At 46.4% G+C, this 20472-nt stretch overlaps 1 protein-coding gene and 1 long non-coding RNA gene across 53 annotated transcripts in view, besides 3 other annotated features; one reads left to right on the top strand and one right to left on the bottom strand.

Annotated features, from left to right (window-relative positions):
• The window catches only part of AOPEP (aminopeptidase O (putative)), a 423526-nt gene that overhangs the window by 202931 nt on the left and 200123 nt on the right, over positions 1-20472 (bottom strand). For 31 of the 51 annotated variants that reach the window (NR_169865.1, XR_929854.3, XR_929853.3 and 28 more), the window contains one exon: positions 18763-18869. The exons of 15 other annotated variants lie outside the window; for them this stretch is intronic. Coding sequence is in view for 28 of the 36 variants with exons in the window: in XM_011519121.4 (XP_011517423.1) it covers positions 18763-18869 (107 nt within the window). In the remaining 8 variants the exon portion in view is untranslated. Of the gene's footprint in view, positions 1-11937; positions 12731-13620; positions 17320-17590; positions 18870-20472 lie in introns of those variants that run through there. 5 more of the 51 variants (NM_001386072.1, NM_001386073.1, NM_001386071.1 and 2 more) reach the window with 3 other exon arrangements.
• Positions 1740-20274, top strand: AOPEP-AS1 (AOPEP antisense RNA 1). 2 transcript variants are annotated; one of them, NR_147613.1, is made up of 3 exons: positions 1740-1854; positions 12350-12521; positions 18431-20274. It is a non-coding gene; the product is annotated as an AOPEP antisense RNA 1 (long non-coding RNA). The 2 variants fall into 2 exon arrangements; NR_147614.1 differs by lacking the exon at positions 12350-12521.
• Positions 17193-17693: an enhancer, noted in NCBI's record as "H3K4me1 hESC enhancer chr9:97691883-97692383 (GRCh37/hg19 assembly coordinates)". NCBI's record gives its function as "activates a minimal SCP1, AML or CMV promoter by ChIP-STARR-seq in naive H9 embryonic stem cells {active_cell/tissue: H9 hESC(naive)}" and the evidence as "EXISTENCE:reporter gene assay evidence [ECO:0000049][PMID:30033119]".
• Positions 18410-19198: an enhancer, noted in NCBI's record as "H3K27ac-H3K4me1 hESC enhancer chr9:97690378-97691166 (GRCh37/hg19 assembly coordinates)". NCBI's record gives its function as "activates a minimal SCP1, AML or CMV promoter by ChIP-STARR-seq in naive and primed H9 embryonic stem cells {active_cell/tissue: H9 hESC(naive and primed)}" and the evidence as "EXISTENCE:reporter gene assay evidence [ECO:0000049][PMID:30033119]".
• Positions 19199-19988: an enhancer, noted in NCBI's record as "H3K27ac-H3K4me1 hESC enhancer chr9:97689588-97690377 (GRCh37/hg19 assembly coordinates)". NCBI's record gives its function as "activates a minimal SCP1, AML or CMV promoter by ChIP-STARR-seq in primed H9 embryonic stem cells {active_cell/tissue: H9 hESC(primed)}" and the evidence as "EXISTENCE:reporter gene assay evidence [ECO:0000049][PMID:30033119]".

The following is a 20472-nucleotide window of genomic DNA, read 5'->3' as shown; positions in this document are numbered from 1 at the left end:
AAGAATAACAAAAGGCCGGGTGCGGTGGATCACGCCTGTAATCCCAGCACTTTGGGAGGCCGAGGCGGGTGGATCACGAGGTCAGGTGATTGAGACCATCCTGGCTAACACAGTGAAACCCCGTCTCTAATAAAAATACAAAAAAAAAAATTAGCCGGGCGTGGTGGCAGGCGCCTGTAGTCCCAGCTACTCGGGAGGCTGAGGCAGGAGAATGGCGTGAACCCAGGAGGCGGAGCTTGCAGTGAGCCGAGATCGCGCCACTGCACTCCAGCCTGGGCGACAGAGCGAGACTCTATCTCGAAAAAAAAAAAAAAGAATAACAAAAAAGAAACATGGTATATATATATATCTGAGTGAATCCCACTGGATGAACACTTGTCCTTCCTTTCTGGATGATCCAGATCCAGGGGTGCAATAACAGTTCCACTCCATGCTTCATGGGTGGCGCCTCAAAGCAGGCTGTGTTCAGTTCAGTTGTCACATTTGGAGAAGACCACTGTCAACAAAGAGAACAACCAAGGACCAAGCCCAAGAAAGCGAACGTTCTCCCAGGCATGCGGTATATATGCTAAATTCACCCAAAAAAGTGACCTATTGGTCAGGAAAAGAAAGAAGAGCCTTCAGATACGTAGATTGTTTTGGTGGGAGCAAGGCGCATTCTGTGCAATTCTGGAGATAAGAGCTAAGAGGACTGCGCAGATGTTACAGGAGGCAGATTCCAGCCAAATCTGAGAAGGGCCATTCTAAGGATCAGGCTCTTCCTACAGGAAATCTGCTGTTTGTTAGTGCAATGAGACCTGGATCCTGGAACTGCTCAGGTAGAAGCTGAGCACAGGAAATCTGCTGTTTGCTAGTGCAATGAGACCTGGATCCTGGAACTGCTCAGGTAGAAGCTGAGTGGCCATCTGTCAGGCACAGGGAAGGTTAGGCAAAATCACTTTTAAGGTCCTTTCTGACTCTAATATCTACAATTTTAAGAGACTGTACAGCCCGGAATATATTTAAGCTAAAGCATGTGAAGGAAAACATTATTCATCCATTCAGTAGAGTCAAGAGGTTTGCTACATAGCTTTGGCCTTGCTAAATCAGCATCAAGTGTGGTTTTCATTTCAAAAAAACTAAACTAAATGAATTATTTAGAGGAAGCTTAACTGAATTGTATTAAATATATATTGCGAGATAGAATTAACTTTTTGAGTATAGGATCCAGGCAGTACAAGGCCTTGACTGTACTTTTCACAGTGTTCTGTTTGGGGCGGGGTAGAGCTGTGCAATGTGCTGAGACAGGTCTCCTCATAAGCTGGGTTCATCTATCAGGGTTAAGGTGATCATAGTGACTCAGCCATAACTCAGGCTGCTGGTGTGCCATACACATTCAGAACACAGGAATACAGAGAACCTGAAAATTACTGGAAGCAAAAGTAGAAAGAATAAAAATGGAAAACTTTTTCTGTATTGCATTAAAAAAAAAATCACGACTTCTTCTGGAAAGAGGCAAATGAGACAAACATTGGCTTCATTTTACAAGAGGAGGCTCGAAGCCCGTTTTGAACACCAACAGCATGTGCAGTGCTGTGTGCTGAGGTAATGGGAAGGATCGCCTCATCTGATGACTCAACGAGGAGCAGATGGCCCGTGGGAGCTGGAGAAGGACTTTTCCCTCCTCAGTGGAGGACAGCACGGCCCTAGGCATGGGGGCGGCAGCGGCAGGGGTGGAGGGCTTGCCTGGTTTTCAGCCCAGTACATACCAGGATGCACAAGAGGACGAGTCCTCAGCAGAGGAGCTCTCTTCTCAGCCTTGCCAGCAACAGTGTGCTCTTTGGGTCTTCTATTTCACATGCAGTGCATCTAACAGTAAGTGTGAGACCATTCACCATAGCATTGTTTATGAAAGCAAAAAACTAGAAATGACCATGATGACGCCCAATGGTTAACAAATGTTTGATGGTTAGTAACGGAACATTCATATCTGGGAATACTCACAGCAGTTAAAAAAAAACAAATAATTCACTGTGTTGATGACAGAACACTAGCCAGGATTCTATTATTAAGAGGACAATGGGAGGTATAGCATGGCATGGATAAAACACACAATCTTGTGTGTATACACTTGTGCTTGAGGGATGCTTTCTTGGGAGTGAATTATCATTCCACGGGGTTGTTATATCACAGACCCTATGGAGATGTCTTCCATCCATCCAACGCTGGAAATGGCCCCGTGGGTCTCATCCAAACCTCGGAGGTCACCAGTCGCCTCCTGCCCTAATTTCTTTTTCCATGTCTCCTCCAGATGATTGTTGATCAACCCCACCAGGCTACAGGGGTATTATGAGACAGTAGAGAACATTAAATGATTTCCATCAATCTCTCTCTTTTTTAAAAAATTGAGATGTAATTCACATATAGTGGTTTTTAGTGTACTCATAAGGTTGTGCAACCTTATGAGTTGCACATAAGTTGATGATGTGCAATAAACTTTAGAATGTAATCAACTTTAGAACATGTTAATCACCCTAAAAAGAAACCAAATACACACTGGCAGTCACTCCCCAATCTCCTTCCCACCTCCACCCAGGCCCTGACCATTAATCTACTTCTTACTTTGGGAGATCAAGGTGGGAGGATTGTTTGAGCCTGGTAGGTTAAGGCTGCAGTGAGCCATGATCGTGCCATGGCACTCCAGCCTCGGGGACAGAGTAAGACCCTGTCTCAAAATAAAAAAATAAAAATAAAAAATCTACTTTTTGTCTCTATGGATTTGCCTATTGTGGACAGTTCACATAAATCACATGATACAGTATGTGGCCTTTTGTGTCCAGCTTTTTCCGCTGAGCATAATGTTTTCAAGGTTCACCCTTGCTGCAGCAAGTATCAGTACTCCGTTCCTTTTTATGGCTGATTAATATTCCACTGTATGGATATAACACATTTTGATTATCCATTCATCTGTTGATGGACATTTGGGTTGTTTCCATTTTGGGCTATGATGAATAATACTGTTATGAACATTTGCATATGATTTCTTCATTTCTTTTGGTTATTTAGCTAGGAATGGAATTGCAGGGTTATATGGTCACTCTATGCTTAAGCTTTTGAGGAACCACCAGGCTGTTTTCCACAGCAGCTGCACCATTTTACCAACAGTGAACAAGGGTTCCAATTTTTCCAAGTCCTCACTGATTTTTATTATCTGTCTTTTTCATTGTAGCCATCCTAGTAGGTATGAAGTGGTATCTCACTGTGGTTTTGATTTGTATTTCCTGATAGCCAATAATGTTGAGTATCTTATGTGCTCATTGGCCATCTGCATATTTTCTTTGGAGAAATGTCAACTTAGATTGACCTGTTTTTTTTTTTTTTTTTTTTTTTTTTTTGAGATGGAGTCTCACTCTGTTGCCCAGGCTGGAGTGCAGTGGTACAATCTCAGCTCACTGCAACCTCTGCCCCTCGGGTTCAAGTGATTCTCCTGCCTCAGCCTCCCGAGTAGCTGGGATTACAGGTGCGTGCCACCACACCCTGCTAATTGTTTGTATGTTTAGCAGAGATGGGGTTTCACCATGTTGGCCAGGCTGGTCTTGAATTGCTGACCTCAAGTGATCTGCCCGCCTCAGCGTCCCAAAGTGCTGGGATTACAGGCATGAGCCACTGTGCCCAGCCAGATTGATCCTTTTTTTTTCTTTTTTCTTTTTTTTTTTTATTTGAGATGGAGTCCCACTCTGTCGCCTAGGCTGGAGTGCAGGGGCACGATCTCAGCTCACTGCAACCTCCATCTCCCAGATTCAAGCAATTCTCCTGCCTCAGCCTCCTGAGTAGCTGGGATTACAGGTGCATGTCACCACACCTGGATAATTTTTGTGTTTTCAGTAGAGACGGGGTTTCACCATGTTGGCCAGGCTGGTCTTGAACTCCTGACCTTAAGTGATCTGCCCACCTCAGCCTCCCAAAGTGCTGGGATTACAGGCGTGAGCCACCATGCCCGGTCCAGACTGACCATTTTTTAATTGGGTCATTTGTCTTTATTGTTGAGTTGTAAGTGTTCTTTATATATTCTGAATACAAGTCCCTTAACAGATATATGATTTGCAAATATTACCTCCCATTCTGTAGGTTGTCTTTTTATTTTCTTGATGGAGTCCTCTGTCGCACAAAAGTTTTTAATTTTGATGCAGTCCAATTTACTGATTCTTTTTCCCTTCAGTTGCTTATGCTTTCAGTGTCTAGTATGTAAGAAACTATTGCCTAATGCAAGATCATGAAGATTTACATCTACATTTTTTCTGTTTGTTGTATAATTTTAGCTTTTATATTTGGGTTTTTGATCCGTTTTGAATCAGTACCTTATTATCTTTGATGCTACTGTAAATGATTTTTTTTTTTTTTTTTTTTTTTGAGACAGACTCTCACTGTGTCCCCTAGGCTGGAGTGCAATGGCACAACCTCAACTCACTGCAACCTCTGCCTCCCGGGTTCAAGCGATGTAAATGAATTTTTCCTAATTTAACTTTCAGATTATTCTTAGCTAGTGTATGGAAATACAGCTAACTTTTGTATGTTGATCCTATATCTCGAAACTTTACTGAACTTGTTTATTAGCTCTAATTATTTTTTTGGAGGATTACTTAGGATTTACTCCACATAAGATTATGTCTACAAATGGAGACAGTTTTACTTCTTCCTTTCCAATCTGGATGCCTTGTAGTTCACTTTTTTGCCTAACTGCCCTGGCTATAACCTCCAGTACAATGTTGAATAGTACAGTCCCTGTTTCTTATTCCTTCTGTCCTCAACCATTGACTTGAAAGGGGCAAGAACTCCTGTAAAGCAGATTTGTAACATCTAGCAGGATGTTCTTCTTTCGTGTCTTTGTGGCAGGTCCAGCAGAATACCCATATAGTTTTTGTCATCCATTCTAGATCAAAACTGTTGGCCAAAACACAAACTAAATGGTAGGAAAAAGGGGCACAGGAAGTAAGCAAATACTCTGTGGAACAAAGTGAATTTGGCGTTACATGAGAAAGCACTCACTGGATGAGAGTTTTTCTGAATGGGAAACTAACGCTCATTAGCTGAACATGTAATGTACATAGTGATTCTTCCTACTGGCTGAGTGCATAAGATATCCTTAGGATGGGCAAAATAAGAGTGAATTATTATGGACTGGCATATGTACATGAATAATTTTGTACGAAATATTTTATAGTCAAATAGCATTATAATGAATCAGTGCTACACGGAGCAGCAATATGGAAGTATGCATGTATACTTACAAAATTTACTTTCCCAAGATTCACAAGAAAACAGTAGCAGTAATTATCTTTGGGTAAGGGACTACAGTGGTAGTAAATGGAATTTTATACTTTTCTAAACTGCTTGAATTTTCTTACTATGTGCTTTGAAAAAAATTAACCAAAGTTAACTAACCAGTGATTATGAAATGTCTTGCTTTTTCATGTTTTTCTATATAAAGAAAAAGGACCCTACTAGATGTTATTGCAAAAATGAAACACCAAGTACTGTAAATATGTAATTAGGGGTCTATGGAGAATTCTCTCCCCCTTAGAAAGACCTGAGTGCTGACTAACCAGGAAATGGTCTGGAAAAATAAAGAGGGAAGGTTATTTGAGTTCAATTATTCAGGACATGTCTGTCATCTTTGCTGTTTAAAAGAGCTGAGAGCTGAGGGTGTCCCTCTAACAGGAAACAAACTGAGTGGGCAGCTCAGGCTGGTGGAGCTGACCTTTGAAACAGGAAAGGGCAGAGTCCATTTCTGGCTAGCTGAGAGCTCTAAAGTTTTTCAGAAAATGCTGGCATAGGTATAGCATCCTCCCATCAAGAACAGGTAGAAACACTCTTCACAGGTCGCTTGTTAGTGTATGTGGTTCAAATAAAAACACTAGACAGACAGGAGTGGGTAGGGGAATCCCACGTGCCTGAGGGATAGAGGGGTGTAGGGCAGGAATTCTAAGACATACAGTTGAGACCTTAGGAGAGGCACAGGCCAATGATCAGGTAGGAACTCTCGGAAGCCATAAAGGCAAGAACTTTTTTCCACTCTGGACAGTGGTGAGATTTTGAACAGAGGCCAGAGGAGCTTTACAGAGAAGAGCCAGAGGGGACCCAAGGGTTGCCCTTCAGAGGGGCTGGACTAGATGTAGGTTCCAGAAGGGTAGTCTTAGAAGTGCTGCTCATTCAATTCTTACCTCTAGCGATTTGCTTGAGCATCTCTGTTGAACTTTCAGACTCTTTCCTTTTATGCCTGTGCTCTACATTTGTAACCAGGCATTCTTGCACTTTTTTTTTTAACATTCTCTTAATTAGTAAAATTAACTTGTTGAACATTCCAGCCAATTATACTTGTCAGGAAGGGAGGGAGGTGTTTCCATGTTCTGGTTGGTCAAGAGACAGGAGCAGATGCCTTGTGTGGTCCCCAGGGAAGGGTGGCAGCAGGGAAAGGGAAGGGCCCAGCTCCAGAGCCATGCGGACATGAGGGGACGAGCCAGGCTGAGGAAATCAGAATAAGCCAGGAGGGGCAGTGGGGGCTGTGTCCCTGTGCCCTCTGCCACTTGTTGGACAAACCTTTTCCAAGTGCCAGAGGACATAGATGATAGCATCAAACGTGTTAAGTATTTACCTGAACTGTAGGAAATTGCCAATATTCATTCTATTTTATTTTATTTTATTATTTATTTATTTATTTATTGAGATGGAGTCTCACTTTGCTGTCCAGGCTGGAGTGCAGTCTGAGCTCACTTCAGCCTCTGCCTCTCAGGTTCAAGAAATTCTCGTGCCTCAGCCTTCTGAGTAGCTAGGATTATAGGCATGCCACCATGCCAGGCTAATTTTTATATTTAGTGGAGATGGGGTTTCACCATGTTGGCCAGGCTGATCTCGAACTCCTGACCTCAAGTGATCTGCCCGCCTCGGCCTCTCAAAGTGCTGAGATTACAGGCATGAGCCACCGCACCTGGCCCTGACAATATTCATTTTAGATCCACCAAAACAGCAATTGCCTGTGATTCAACTTAACATACATGTTCTAAATGGATTGCATGTATTCATTGTATTTATTCCTCACATCCACCTATAAGGTAGAAACTATTGTGTTAATCATCCCTGTTTTACAGCTAAGGGGACTAAAGCTAAGTGTGGTTGAGTAACTCTCTCAAGGCCACACAGCAAATGTGTGTAAAGCTTGAGTATCCTTTATCCAAAATATTTGGAACCAGAAGTGTTTCAGACTTCCGATATTTTTGGATTTTGGAATATCTACATACAAATGAAATATCTTGGGGATGGGACCCAAGTCAAAATACAAATTTATTTATGTTTCATATATAGTTGGTCCTCCCAATCCTCAGGTTCTCCATGCTTGGATTCAATCAGCTGCAGATTCAACCAACCTCAGACTGAAAATATAGTACTCCAGGGATGTAGAACCCCCAGATACAAAGGACCAGCTTTCTGTTTCCTCAGTTCCACAAGGCTGACTATGCATCCTGAGATTTTGGTATGGGGGCAGTCCTGGAACCAATGCCCCGAGGATACTGAGTACCTTTTATACACATAGCCTGAAGGTAATTTTATACATTATTTTAAATAATTTTGTATATGAAACAAAGTTTTGACTGGGAGCCACCATCACATGAGATCAGGTATGAAATTTTCCATTAGTGGTCATGTTGTTGCCCAGGAAGTTTTGTTCAGATTTTCATATTAGAAATTCTGAACCTGTAGTAGAGTCAGAACTCATCCAGGCAGCCATTCTCATAAACCCCATCCTACCATCCTGGGTCAAGACCAAGGGCGGAGGAGCTCTGGAGTGAAGCTCAATCCATATCCTCAGATGATGCCTCCCTAACACGAGGCAGGATCAACCAGACCTTGGCCAAGGAGGAACATGGGCTGTTGTCTTTCCCTCTTTTCAAAGACTCACAAACTTCACAGAACCCCCGAATTTAACCTTTCTTTTAATGGGTCAATCCTTATATACAATGGGGATGGCTTTACATTGTATTATTAGAAGCCTTCTTTTTTTTTTTTTTTTCTGACACGAAGTCTCACTCTGTTACCAAGGCTGGAGTGCAGTGGCATGATCTCGGCTCACTGCAACCTCCACCTCCCAGGTTCAAGTGATTCTCCTGCCTCAGCCTCCCAAGTAGGTGGGACTACAGGCGCCTGCCACCATGCTCAGCTAATTTTTGTATTTTTAGTAGAGATGTGGTTTCACCATATTGGGCAGGCTGGTCTTGAACTCCTGACCTTGTGATCTGCCGGCCTCGGCCTCCCAAAGTGCTGGGATTACAGGTGTGAGCCACCGCGCCCGGCCTAGAAGCCTTCTTTCAATCCATTTTTGATAGCTGCAAATGAACAATTCAGTCAGATCTTTAGGCCAACCAAGGTCTTCCGAACTTATGCCTCTGTTCCTCACACAGCCACCTGATTCCATCTGTTCTCTAGACTCTTTCTCTTTGATCATATGTTATCCCAAACGCTGGGTAATCTTCCTAGAACTCTACTTTCATTATGTCATTCTTGGAACATAAAATACCTCACCATTACCCAGAGGATCACATACGAGTTCTTCAATTTGGCATCCGAGGAGCTCCATGACTTAGCCTAGCCTTGCCTGGCCCACCTTCAGTCTCACTGGTTCTTTTCGTGGCTGTCCTCTCCAGCAAGTCCATTCTCATGTTAATGTCCACATCCACAATCCATTCCTTTTTATGCCTACCAGGCTTTGCTCCTTGAATTCCTCTCCCTCTGCCTCTTCACCCATCTCAGTGGTATCCTTTCTTACTATCCCAGCTCAAGCCTCACATCCCCCTGTAGCCCTTTCTAACTAAATCTGTCAACAGTAAACTCTCAGTTCTTAGAACTCTGAGGATGTAGCCTAGGATTACCTATCTATCTTGGGACCAGTATTTCAGCTCTCCAAATAACATATAAAGAACCTCAGGGACAGACATCATGTCTATGAGATTCATTTTTTCAACACTCACGGAGCACCCTCTCAGTGCCAAGCACTGTGGTGCACTGAGAAACAAGACGTAATCCCTAGGGACAAAAGTCTGAGGGTCAGAAGCGAGATATGTATTTGGTTGGACCATATGAAATTGTTTTTGGCCGGGCGCGGTCGCTCACGCCTGTAATCCCAGCACTTTGGGAGGCCAAGGCAGGTGGATCACAAGGTCAGGAAATCGAGACCATTCTGGCTAACACAGTGAAATCCTGTCTCCACTAAAAATACAAAAAATTATCTGGGTGTGGTGGCATGTGCCTGTAGTCCCAGCTACTCGGGAGGCTGAGGCAGGAGAATCGCTTGAACCCAGGGAGGTGGAGGTTGCAGTGAGCCGAGACCACGCCACTGCACTCCAGCCTGGGTGACAGAGCGAGATTCCATCTCAAAAAAGAAAAAAGAAATTGTTCTTGTAGGGCAAAAATGGTCAAATATTGGCAATTTAATGTGGTAAACATAAAAAGAATGACCAAATCATGTAGTAAGATCAGAGAGAGACAGAGAAGAGAGCCTAGGAGTACAGAGGAGGGACAGCAGCTTACATTAGGATAGGGTCTGAGAGTTTCTGGGAAGGCAATGCAATCTGTGCTGAGTCATAATGATGAGTCATAATGATATGGAATTATGCAGCAAGGCAAGGATATTCTAAATAGAGACAACATCTTTAAAAGGCATGGAGGTAAGAAAGAGCAGGCAGATGGTAGGAGCTATGACTGAACTGGGTTCCCCCAAATGTATATGTTGGAACCATATCCCCCTGTACCTCAGAATATGACTGTCTTTGGAGATAGGGCAGTTGAGGGCTTCAAGGGGTGGTTAAATTAAAATGAGGCTGTCAGGGTGGGCCTATTCCAATGTGACTAGTGTCCTTTAGGAAGAGCAGATTAAGACATACAGAGGGACACGAGGGACATGCACACGCAGAGAAAAGGCCGCTTGAGGACACAGCGAGAAGATGGCTGTCACACTGTGGAGTGTATATTTGGTTTTTGTCCTCGTTTCCTGGCATATAATTTCTAAAATCCTCTGGATCTTCACAATTACGCCTTTGTATGCTAATGAGTTGATGGGTGGCTAGCAGCCCCTAGGTAGCTTCAGGAGGAGCTGGTCACTGGAAAGACCAAGGCAGCATTAGAGGGTTGGGACTTTCAGCCCCGCCCCCCAATCTCCGGGGAGGGGACGGGGGTAAAGGTCAAGTTGACCACCAAAGGCCAATGGTTTGACGAATCATGTCTGTATAACGAAGCCTCCATAAACCCCCCAAAGTTAGGAGAGCTTCTGGATAGCTGAACGCAGGGAAAGGGGCACATCTGGAGAGGGCAGGGAAGCCTCACACCCCTTCCCTCATACCTCACCCTATGCATCTCTTCACCTGTATCCCTTGTAATATCTTTATAATAAAGGAGTAAATGTGAGTGTTTCCCTGAGTTCTGTCAGCTGCTCTAGCAAATTAATAAACCCAACGTGCCAGCCATGGGAACCCCAATTTATAGTTGGTTGGTCAAAAACACAGGGTAGACAACCTGGGGCGTGTGACTGGTGTCGGAGGTGGAAGGCAGTCTTGTGGGACTGAGCCCTCACCCTGTGGGATCTGATGCTCTGGACAGTGTCAGAATTAAACTGAATTAGAGGACACCCAGCTGGTGTCCACTACAGAAGTTATTGCTTGCTTGGTGTGTGGGGAAACCTCCTACACATTTGGCCACAGAAGTCTTCTGTGTTGATGGTTGTGGAGTGAGAGCAGATGAAAAACAGTTTGTTTTTTCTGCTCAGTGACTGCAAGCCAAGGAGTGAGGGCTCAGAAGAAACCAAATCTGTCAACATCTTGATCTGGGACTCCTGGCCTCCAGACTGTGGGAAGATAAATTTATGTTGGCCTTTAGTAACTTATTATGGCAGCCCGAGCTGACTACCACAGGAGGGGTCTCTGAGCTACCTGGAGGGAGAGGGTAAAGCAAAGAACGACAAGAGATGAGATGGGGGACAGAGGTGATGTGCAGGGACTTGCATGCCACACTAAGGGGCTTGAAGATTTTCCTGCAGGTGAGGGGAAGCTTTTGGAGAGTTTTAGCAAGGAGGTGGCAGAACCATGAGGTGTTTTAAGGAGAGCTCTCTGGTGGCAGCAAGGAAGGGCAAGACCAGAAGTAGAAAATAGAAAACACTTTGGGGCTGTTGGACTGCTACAAGCAAGTGGTGAAGAGAGAGACAGTGGTATTAGGGGTGGAGAAGAGGAGTTGAATTGAGGAAATCCTTAGGAGATGAAATTGGCAGTTGTTAGCAATGGCTCCCAGGGAAGGAGTGAAGGAGAGGCAGGAGCTGGAGCTCCCAGTCTCCTACCCTGTTGTGGGTGGACCTGTGCCACCAGCGATGAGTACAACACTATGGGAGGGGAGCAGATGAAGCAGGGTAGAGGGGATGATCAGTAAGAGATGACTGTGGGGTAACCAGGAGAGATGTCAACGGGGAGTTAAGCATTCACGCTTGATCTTTAGAGAGAGTGGGGCTGCTGGTGGAGACTTGGGAGCCTTTGGCTTAAAAGGGGGTATGGCCGGCCATGCCCACACCCCACCCGTGTGCACACCAGCCCTTGGCATGCTCTCTGCGACTCTTCGTCAGAGGGTGGCCCTGGGGTTGCCTGAGCCTGTCTTTCCTGTGAACACATGGAGCTGGAAGCACCTGGGACTGTACATTTTTCCAACCAATGAGACAAGTGCAGGGGTACATGCACCCTGGGGGTCCACTGCCTGATGCGAACAACTGAGGGTGACCCATGCTTCTTCCAGAGTAACCCTGCATGACCTGGCCTGATGTCACGGCACCCTGGCTTGGCCTCCTCACTTCCATTTCCCTTCCCTTTCCACCTCCTGGGAACATATATTAGTCTGTTCCTGAATTGCCATAAAGAAATACACAAGACTGGGTAATTTATAAATAAAAGAGGTTTAATTGGCTCACGGTTCTGCAGGTTGTACAGGAAGCATGATGCTGTCACCTGCTCGGAGGCCTCAGGAAACTTACAATTATGGCAGAAGGCAAAGGGGAAGCAGGACATCTTACATGGCTGGGGCGGGAGGGAGACAGTTGGTGGAGGAAGGTGCCACACACTTTTAAATAACCAGAGCTCATGAGAACTCACTCACTATTGTGACCACAGCACCAAGGGGGGATGGTGTTAAACCATGACAAACCACCTCTGTGATCCAGTCACCTCCCGCCAGGCCCCACCTCCAACACTGGGGATTACAATTCAACATGAGATTTGGGCGGGGACACACAGCCAACCCGTATCAGAACAATTCCTAATAAATCTCTTTCCCATACCCCTTGCATCAGGGTCTGCACCTGGAGACTCCCACCTAAGATGGGGGTTTAGATGAGACCACTCTGGGAGGACACGCAGCCGAGTGTGGAGGCCCCGAGGAAGATCAGCTCTGAAGACACAGGCAGGCAAAGGGCAGACCTCGAAGGAGATGGAGGAGGAATGACAGAGGGCAAGAAGAATCAGGTGAGGGACTGCCACAAAAGCCAGTGACAAAAACTTCCAGAAGAGCTGTCAACAGTACCAAACAAAGCAGAAGAGTCTCAAAAGATTAAAAATAAAATTTGCTTCCATAATCTGGTGACTGTCAGGGCACAATGAGCCAAGGAAAAAACAGTTTTCCTGTACTGGTGAGAGCAGAAAGCAGATTCCAGAGGACTGGAAGTTCTTAAGAGCTGTGGGAATGGAGACAAGAAGTGTTTTGATAATTAGATGAGGGTGCAGCAGTTTAAAGGAGAGATTATTAAGGATAGGAGAGGCTGGGTGTGGTGGCTCGTGCCTGTGGTCCCAGCTACTTGGGAGGCTGAGGCGGCAGGATCACCTGAGCTCCAGAGTCAGAGGTTGCAGTGAGCCGAAATCGCGCCACTGAACTCCAGCCTGGGCAATAGAGCCAGACTCTGTCTCAAAAAAAAAAAAAAAAAAAGATGGGAGAAGTGTGAGCATAGTCAGCAGTTAGAGGGAGAGGGAGAGGGAAGGGAGGGAGGGTGGAGGACAGAGGACCGTGGGTGACGACAGAGCCAGGTCCTGGTGGAGGAGGGCCTCAGGTAGCTGGTGCACTGGGCAGGGGCCCCAGGACATTTCCGTTTTGGAGCTTCTGCCACCAAAGCAGATGAAACTGAGATTTTCCTCTCTCCTTATCAGACTCTTCCTTGAAGCCTGTAAGCTTTCAATTTAAAAATAAGATGGTATATGGCTGGGCGCAGTGGCTCACGCCTGTAATCCCAGCACTTTGGGAGGCCGAGGCAGGCGGATCACAAGGTCAGGAGATCAAGACCATCCTGGCTAACACAGTGAAACCCCGTCTCTACTAAAAACACAAAAAATTAGCCGTGGTGTGGTGGCGGGCACCTGTAGTCCCAGCTACTTGGGAGGCTGAGGCAGGAGAATGGCGTGAACATGGGAGGCGGAGCTTGCAGTGAGCTGAGATTGCGCCACTGCACTCCAGCCTGGGAGACAGAGCGACACTCTGTCTCAAAAAAAAAAATTAAAAAAAATAAATAAAAATAAAAAAAGGCTTCCTATTTTAAGTGGAATGTACAGTAGGCATCATACAAATTCACAACACTTGTGGCATGCAGACTTTATTTTGGCTATGGATAGGGTTACATACTTGGGGTTTTCCCCCTATTATTAAGGGATGTTTTTGTGATCAAGGGATGAGGCATTCAGGAGGAAGGTTAGGGAAAGATGCTCGCATTTATCTAGCATTGTATCAAAGTGGAGGCAGCAGCTAAGATTAAGAGTTCCATAGACTCCTGCCTGTTGCACCTCCTTAAAGCGATACATTTTAACGTTTTCCTCAGCAGGAGCTTGAATTTAACAATGAATCCAGAAAAAAAGAGAAGTCATAATAAATCACAAACAATAAAAAAACAACAGATTTCTTCTGACCCTGCCACCTTAGCTCTTCCATCCCTGGGGCCTGTCAGAGTGTGCTAACTGAAAGCACTTAGGCAGAAGCTGCCGGAATCCAGCTGCACCCTGGAGACAGGAGGCATGGCGAGCCTTTCGGAAGCTGCCATGCATCTCAGGCAAGAGCCACCACTGCTGCACGAGTCAGGAGGGGACCTTGTAGGCAGGGGATAGATGACAGGAGAGAGCTGAACAGTGGCAGGACAGAAAGGAACACTGAAATCAGACTTTGCCTGGGGAAGAGTTCTGCCCAGGGCCAGAGAGGAGATGAAGAGTCTGGGAGAGTCCTTGGGGTCTTATCTGTGGGAAAGACATCTTCAATAATTAACAAATGAAAAATGGCATGTGACCCCTAACATTTTGAAACTGAGCAAATCGTCTTGCCTCAGAAGCCTGTAGCCACATTACAGGCTCTCCAGCCAATGAAGGCTGAGAAGGCTAGGAAAATACAAGAAACCTGTTAACGAATGACTTACAAGGAAGTCAATCTCAGACACATCGGATACAAAGGAAACACAGCAAAGTCAATCTAAGAAACATCTGGGCTGGGCGCAGTGGTTCACGCCTATAATCCCAGCACTTTGGGAGGCCGAAGCAGGCAGATCACTTGAGGTTAGGAGTTTGAGACCAGCCTGGCCAACATGGTGAAACCCTGTCTCTACTAAAAATACAAAAATTAGCCGGGCATAGTGGCACATGCCTACAGTTCCAGCTACTTGGGAGACTGAGGTGGGAGAATCACTTGAATCCAGGAGGCAGAGGTTGCAGTGAGCAGAGATCATGCCACTGCACTCCAGCCTGGGCGACAGAGCAAGACTCTGTCTTAAAAAAAAAAAAAAAAGAAAGAAAGAAAGAAAAGAAAAAAAGAAACATTTGATGAAACCTCATGACTCAGTGGATGTATGAAAGGCACAAATGGAAAGCTGTTCTTATAAATTACTAAAACTAGTAAGTCAGAGCCAAACAAAATTTTAGTTTTTCTCTTTTCACTTTGTTAATACTCCAGTATCTATAACCAAGAGAATGTTGAATGTTCCTTTTTCTCAATGTCTTTTAAAATAATAAGACACATACTTCATGTGTTAAAAGAAAAAAGATGCTTGGACCAAGCATACTTTTCACCCTGACCTGTATGTCCTTCCAGAGCCCAAGATACCTGCAGGTTTTTTGTTTGTTTGTTTTTTTATTTGTTTTAATGCAACTAAATGCTCTCAGTTCCCTGAAGACAGGAATATGGTATAGGGAACCGAGAAGAGTTTCCGTCCCTGGGTTTAAATCCCTGTTCTCTTCTTTATCAGCTAGAGGAGGTTAGACACGTTATTCAGTCTTTCTGAGCCTTGGTTCTTTATCAGCTAGAGGAGGTTAGACGCATTACTCAGTCTTTCTGAGCCTTGGGCTATTGAAGTGGAGACTGTTAACCTGCCAGCAAGAGAGGTGAGGAAGGACTGGCCACAGAGGCAGAGGGAACTCAAGGAGAGTAAGACACACAGAAGCCAGGAGGAGAAAGTGCTTTAAGAAGAAAGCGTTTTTAGGACAGAGTGGTCAAACATGTTGAACAGTGTGGCAAAGATCTCAAGAGAAGCTTCCACTGCATCCGCCAACATGTGGAAACCTATCAAGACATAAAGCGAGATTTTTACGTTGTTATGGCCCATCATTTCAAGACCATGGGGCATCTTGAAAGAAAGAACAAGATAGCATCTGATTGTTTTTAAGGGACTTCTTTCCCAAGGTCTCATTGAAAACAAAATCTGAGAACAAATTTTTACAAGTCTGGTTCTTCCTTTTACTTTCAATAACTTCCAGGTTCTCTGTGTCCATTTAAGGGAGAATTCTAGGGGATGGGAGTAAACGAAACCTAGACTATATAATTCAGGGCAGGTTCGGAAACATTTCCTCCTCATTGTAAGTACATCTGATAACAATATTTTCCTTATTGATGTGCAATAAGCCTTTCAAATGCAGTCAATTCATGGTTAGCCTAAATTTAGGCAAACAAAATTTCTGAATACGAAGACAAAGAAAAGCAAATGCCATAAAAAACTGTCTAGTACAAAGGTCTAAAAATACTAGATTGTTCTCCCAACTCCACACACAAAGGAAAAGATCTTGGCCATCAGAAGCTTGGTTGACTCAGGCTCCAGGGAAGCCAGAGATGAGGCCCTCCTCATGTGTGAACTGACTTCCCAGGGTGCAGTCTAACTTGCTTACAAGTTGGAAACACAGTTCACCAAAACTCACATTTACTGAGATGCCCCTACCCCACTGAAGGACTATGGTTATGCAAAACCAAAGGGATCAAAGGGACTAAGAGACGTAATGGAAATGACCTCTTAGGTGGAGGGACTGAGCCTTTAAGAGGTGAAGGGATTTGCACAGTGAGGCAGCTCGCAGGTAAGCATGCTCCTGGGCGCCCTACCTGAAAGCAAACCTCTCTGGCCCTCATGTCCCTCTGCTACCTTCCCAGTCTCGCTTCCTGGGCCAACACACCCCCTCTCACAGAGCCTACAGTTACCAGCCCCGCTTCCTGACTTCCCATCCATGCTCCTGTCCACTTCAGCCTGACTTCCTTCTCCATCACCCATGTAGTCCCACTTCTCTCTCTTTCGCCCCTCTTCATCCCCCAGGCAGCTTCCAACATCAGCCACTCCCACCTGCTTGCCTCAGCTTCTTTTCTGGCTTCCATGGCCCCTAGTGCCCTGGTTTTCTCTGGGGAAACACATAATGGTTTCCCCAGAGTCCTCTGTTGGCTCCCCCTCTTCCTCCTGACCTCTTCTCTCACTTTCCTCTCTCCCTGAGGATTTCACTGTGTTCAAGATTTAAAGGGTTTTATAGGCTGAATGTTCCAGTCTCTCCAGTGAGCTCCTGAATTGTAATCTCCAAAGTTCATAATATTGAATATCTATTGGTCATCACAAACTTAACACATGCAAAGCTGGAAACTTCATTTTCCTTCCAAGCTCCTCCTCATGTCTTTACCATCACACAAATGGGATCACCATCTACCCAACTGTCCAACTCAAAAACCTCAAAGTCATTCTGGATACACTCATTTTCCTCTTCTCCACATTCAATCAACCAAAGACCTGCCCGTTCCACAGCCAAAACACATTTCAAATAGGTCTGCGTCTTGCATCTGTCACAGGCACTCCAGGGCCTCTTGCATGGACTACTGCAAGGCTGCAACCGTTCTCCTGGCTTTCCGTCGGCTGCCTGTGGTGCTCTCCACACAGCAGCAGAGCAGCACCGTCCAAATACTGAGCAGATCATACCACCTTCCTGCTGAAGGTCCTGGAGCAGCTTCTGAAGAACTTGGGGAAAGACTCGTGTGACCTGGCTCCTGCCTGCCTCTCTTGGCCCCTGCCCTCAGTCCCTTTTCCAGCCACACTGCCCTTCTTTCTGTCCCTAAGGCACATGAAGGCCTTTCCCACCTCAGGCAGGCTATGCACAAGGCAGCTCATTTTCAGAGAGAAATTCCCCACCTCCTTATGCGCCGCCCTCCAGTTAGTATGGACATCACCGAGCAGTCTGCTCACAGTGCTGCGCACCACCTGTGACCGGCCGGTACCTGTAGCCATGTCCCTGCTAAGTGGAAGCTCTGTGAGAGCAGGGGCCATGTTCACTTTGGCCATAGGAGTAGCTGTCCTGCCTGGATCAATCAGCATTGGCCAAGAGAAAAGATGCTGGAACAATGGCTTTGGGGCGGGAACACAGGTCTCCTGGCTCCTGGCCCGCTCCACTTCCCTCCGCTAGATCTCCTTTCCGAAACAATGGATGAGTCAACTTGGGAGTCCGCCTTAGCGTGCAAGCGCAGGGAACTTTGCTGTGGGAAGGGTGCAGCTTGCCATACCCCAACATTCTGCAGTGCTGCACAAAAGTCCCAGCCAGCTCCCTCCCTGGGGTGCATTTGCGTTAGGCTTCAGTCACAGTCAGGCGAAGTGGGGGTGTATATTTAAAAACAAACAACAACAGCAGAACCATCCAAGGCAGGCCTCTGCCTGGGAAAGTAGATGGGCCTTCAGGGCGGCCATCTAAGAACAGGCGAGGAGAGGAGCAGTTCCTGGATGGCCATCCCTCCCCACCTGTTTGATGGCAGATTACCAACATCTGACTCTAGTGGAAGAGGAGGGGAGGTGATGGAACCTCCTGTTGCCATAGCAACCACAGTGCTCCCGGAGCCTAGGTACCAGGTTTCAGATAAACATTTCACAAAGAAAAGGAGCAAAGCAGAGAGGGACAAACGTGGAAAAATGGCATGAAATAATCCTGCACATGCCACAAGCCACAGTCTACAAACAAAACTCAGGAGCTGGCCATGGAATCCTGCTGCACAGGGGAGCAGCAGAGGCTTCCTGCTGGGCTACGATGGAAACAAAAGGGCCCATTGACACATACATCTGTGACCACTAAACACTTAGGAATCAATATTTTCCTAAAGATTTTTTTCCCCTTTGGCTTTATAGGTTTACTGTCTGCCAGGCTGCCAAACCCCAACCCTCGCCACATCCGCAGCCACCACGTAAAGTGACTGTTAGAACTTCAAACGAAGGATCTGACCCCCGGAAATGGCCTCATGCTAGTTTTTTCCTAAACAGTCACCAGGAAAATGACGGAAGGCAAATCGAAACGCATGCCCTGAAAGACTTAGAACATAACCATCACATCTGGGGGACAAGAAGCCCACCCCAACTTAATTTAAAAAGGAAACACAGCAGATGTCATCAGTTGGCAGGGAGGTGTCTTGAAGGAAAGAAGGAGGGGAATGAGAGGGCTGTGGATCACCATGCAGCTTTACCTTAACACCTGCATCTCCTCGGGGGAGCATTGCATCTCGTCCTGGAGGCGACGCCAGCGCAGACAAGCCCTCAGCTCCTGCTGCTCCCGGGCCTCATAGGGGGCCAGCTGCTCAGCCACAGACACACAGACACACATGCACAAAACACAGTCACTGTTGTGGTCCTGGTGCAATGGCTCACTTTGTTTCAATGGGGGACAAGATAGCCTGCCCCTGCTCTCACCTTGCTTCCATCAGAAACCTAAAGGCCACTGGAGCCTCTTAGTGCCTAAAACAAAAAACCAACCGTGCACGCTCGCTTGTGCTGCTGGCCGTGGAGCTGGGCCTGCTGTTTGGCGGAGGTCGCCTTGTTCTGGAACCCACCCATCCCACCGACACACACCTGGTCTGGAGAGAGTGGGCTTCCCTTGGGACCATTTCCACTTTGATCTGTCCTCTTTTCCTGCTTTGTCTTTCTGCACAGGATGGGGAAGGCCCCACCGTTCACCTCCGATTTTCCCCAGCCCTCAATTTTGTTAAGGACTGTTTCCAGCGGGGCCTGCTAATGCAACCCAGATGATTCTGTGTGCACATAACTAGAAGTGCTGCCTGGACTCACTCTGGGGGAGGGGAGGCCATCACACTCTGCCCTACTGAGTCAGAACCAGCTGCCGTCCCATGGTGTGCTCACTGGGCCACACGGCCCCGACCTCTGTGAGGGAAGGCAGCAGAGCACCCACTGGGGAGGGAAGACGTCTATCCACGGGTGTTTCTGGAAATCAAACTTTCCTGATAATTCGTTCAACAGATATTTACTGAGTCTCTGCTAGGCCATGGGGACATTACAGACAGGGCCTGGGGCAGCAGCCAGGGGAGGGAGAGATGGGCAGGAACACTAACATCAGAGAGCAGGTGACGGGAGAGGTGAAGGGAGAACCCAGATGCCCCCTTGCCCACCAGGGCTTCCTGAGGAGGTGGTGGTGACAGCACTGATCCTCAGGGAAGGAGGAGTCGGCCGGGGAGGAGGGATTTCGGGAAGAGCACTTGCAAGGCACGTCGGGCCAGGAAGTGTGTGATGTGCTTAGAGAATGGCAAGGCATATGGTCAGGCCTGGAGCAGACTACCATTCTGGGAGGGAGCAAGGTGCAGGGAAGCTGGCAGAGGCCAGACGATCCTCAGACCCCATGTGCCTGCTGTTATGGACTAAACTGTGTCTCCACAAAATATATGTGTTGAAGGCCTTACCCCGGTGTGACTGTATTTGGAGATAAGGCTTTCAAGGAGGTCATTAAGGTTAAGTAAGTCATGAGTGGGGCCCTAATCCTACAGGGCTGGTGTTCTTATAAGAAGAGGAAGAGCCAACAGAGCGTACTTTCTCTCTGCATGCACAGAGGAAAGGCCATATGAGAACGCAGAGAAAAAGCAGCTCGTGGCCACCTGCAAGCCAGGAAGAGTGAGGGGCCTCACCAGAAACCAACCCTGCTGGCACCTTGGTCTTGGACTTCCAGCCTCCAGAACTGTGAGGAATAAACGTCTGTTGTTTAATTCACCCAGTCTCTGGTATTTATTATGGCAGTCCAAGCAGACTAATATGTCTGTGAAGGCATTTAGACTTTCTCCAGGTTGATGACAAGTTACACCATCCAACCTTGCGACTGACTTGATTCACAAATCCCTGCGGATGCCTCTCTGAGTGGAAGGTGGTCTCCATCACCTTGTTGAGATTTCACA

This window comes from Homo sapiens, chromosome 9 (assembly GCF_000001405.40).
Source record: "Homo sapiens chromosome 9, GRCh38.p14 Primary Assembly".
Classification (NCBI taxonomy): Eukaryota; Metazoa; Chordata; class Mammalia; order Primates; family Hominidae; genus Homo; species Homo sapiens.
Note: the sequence above shows the minus strand (reverse complement) of the source record. Positions and strands in the feature narration are given on the sequence as shown.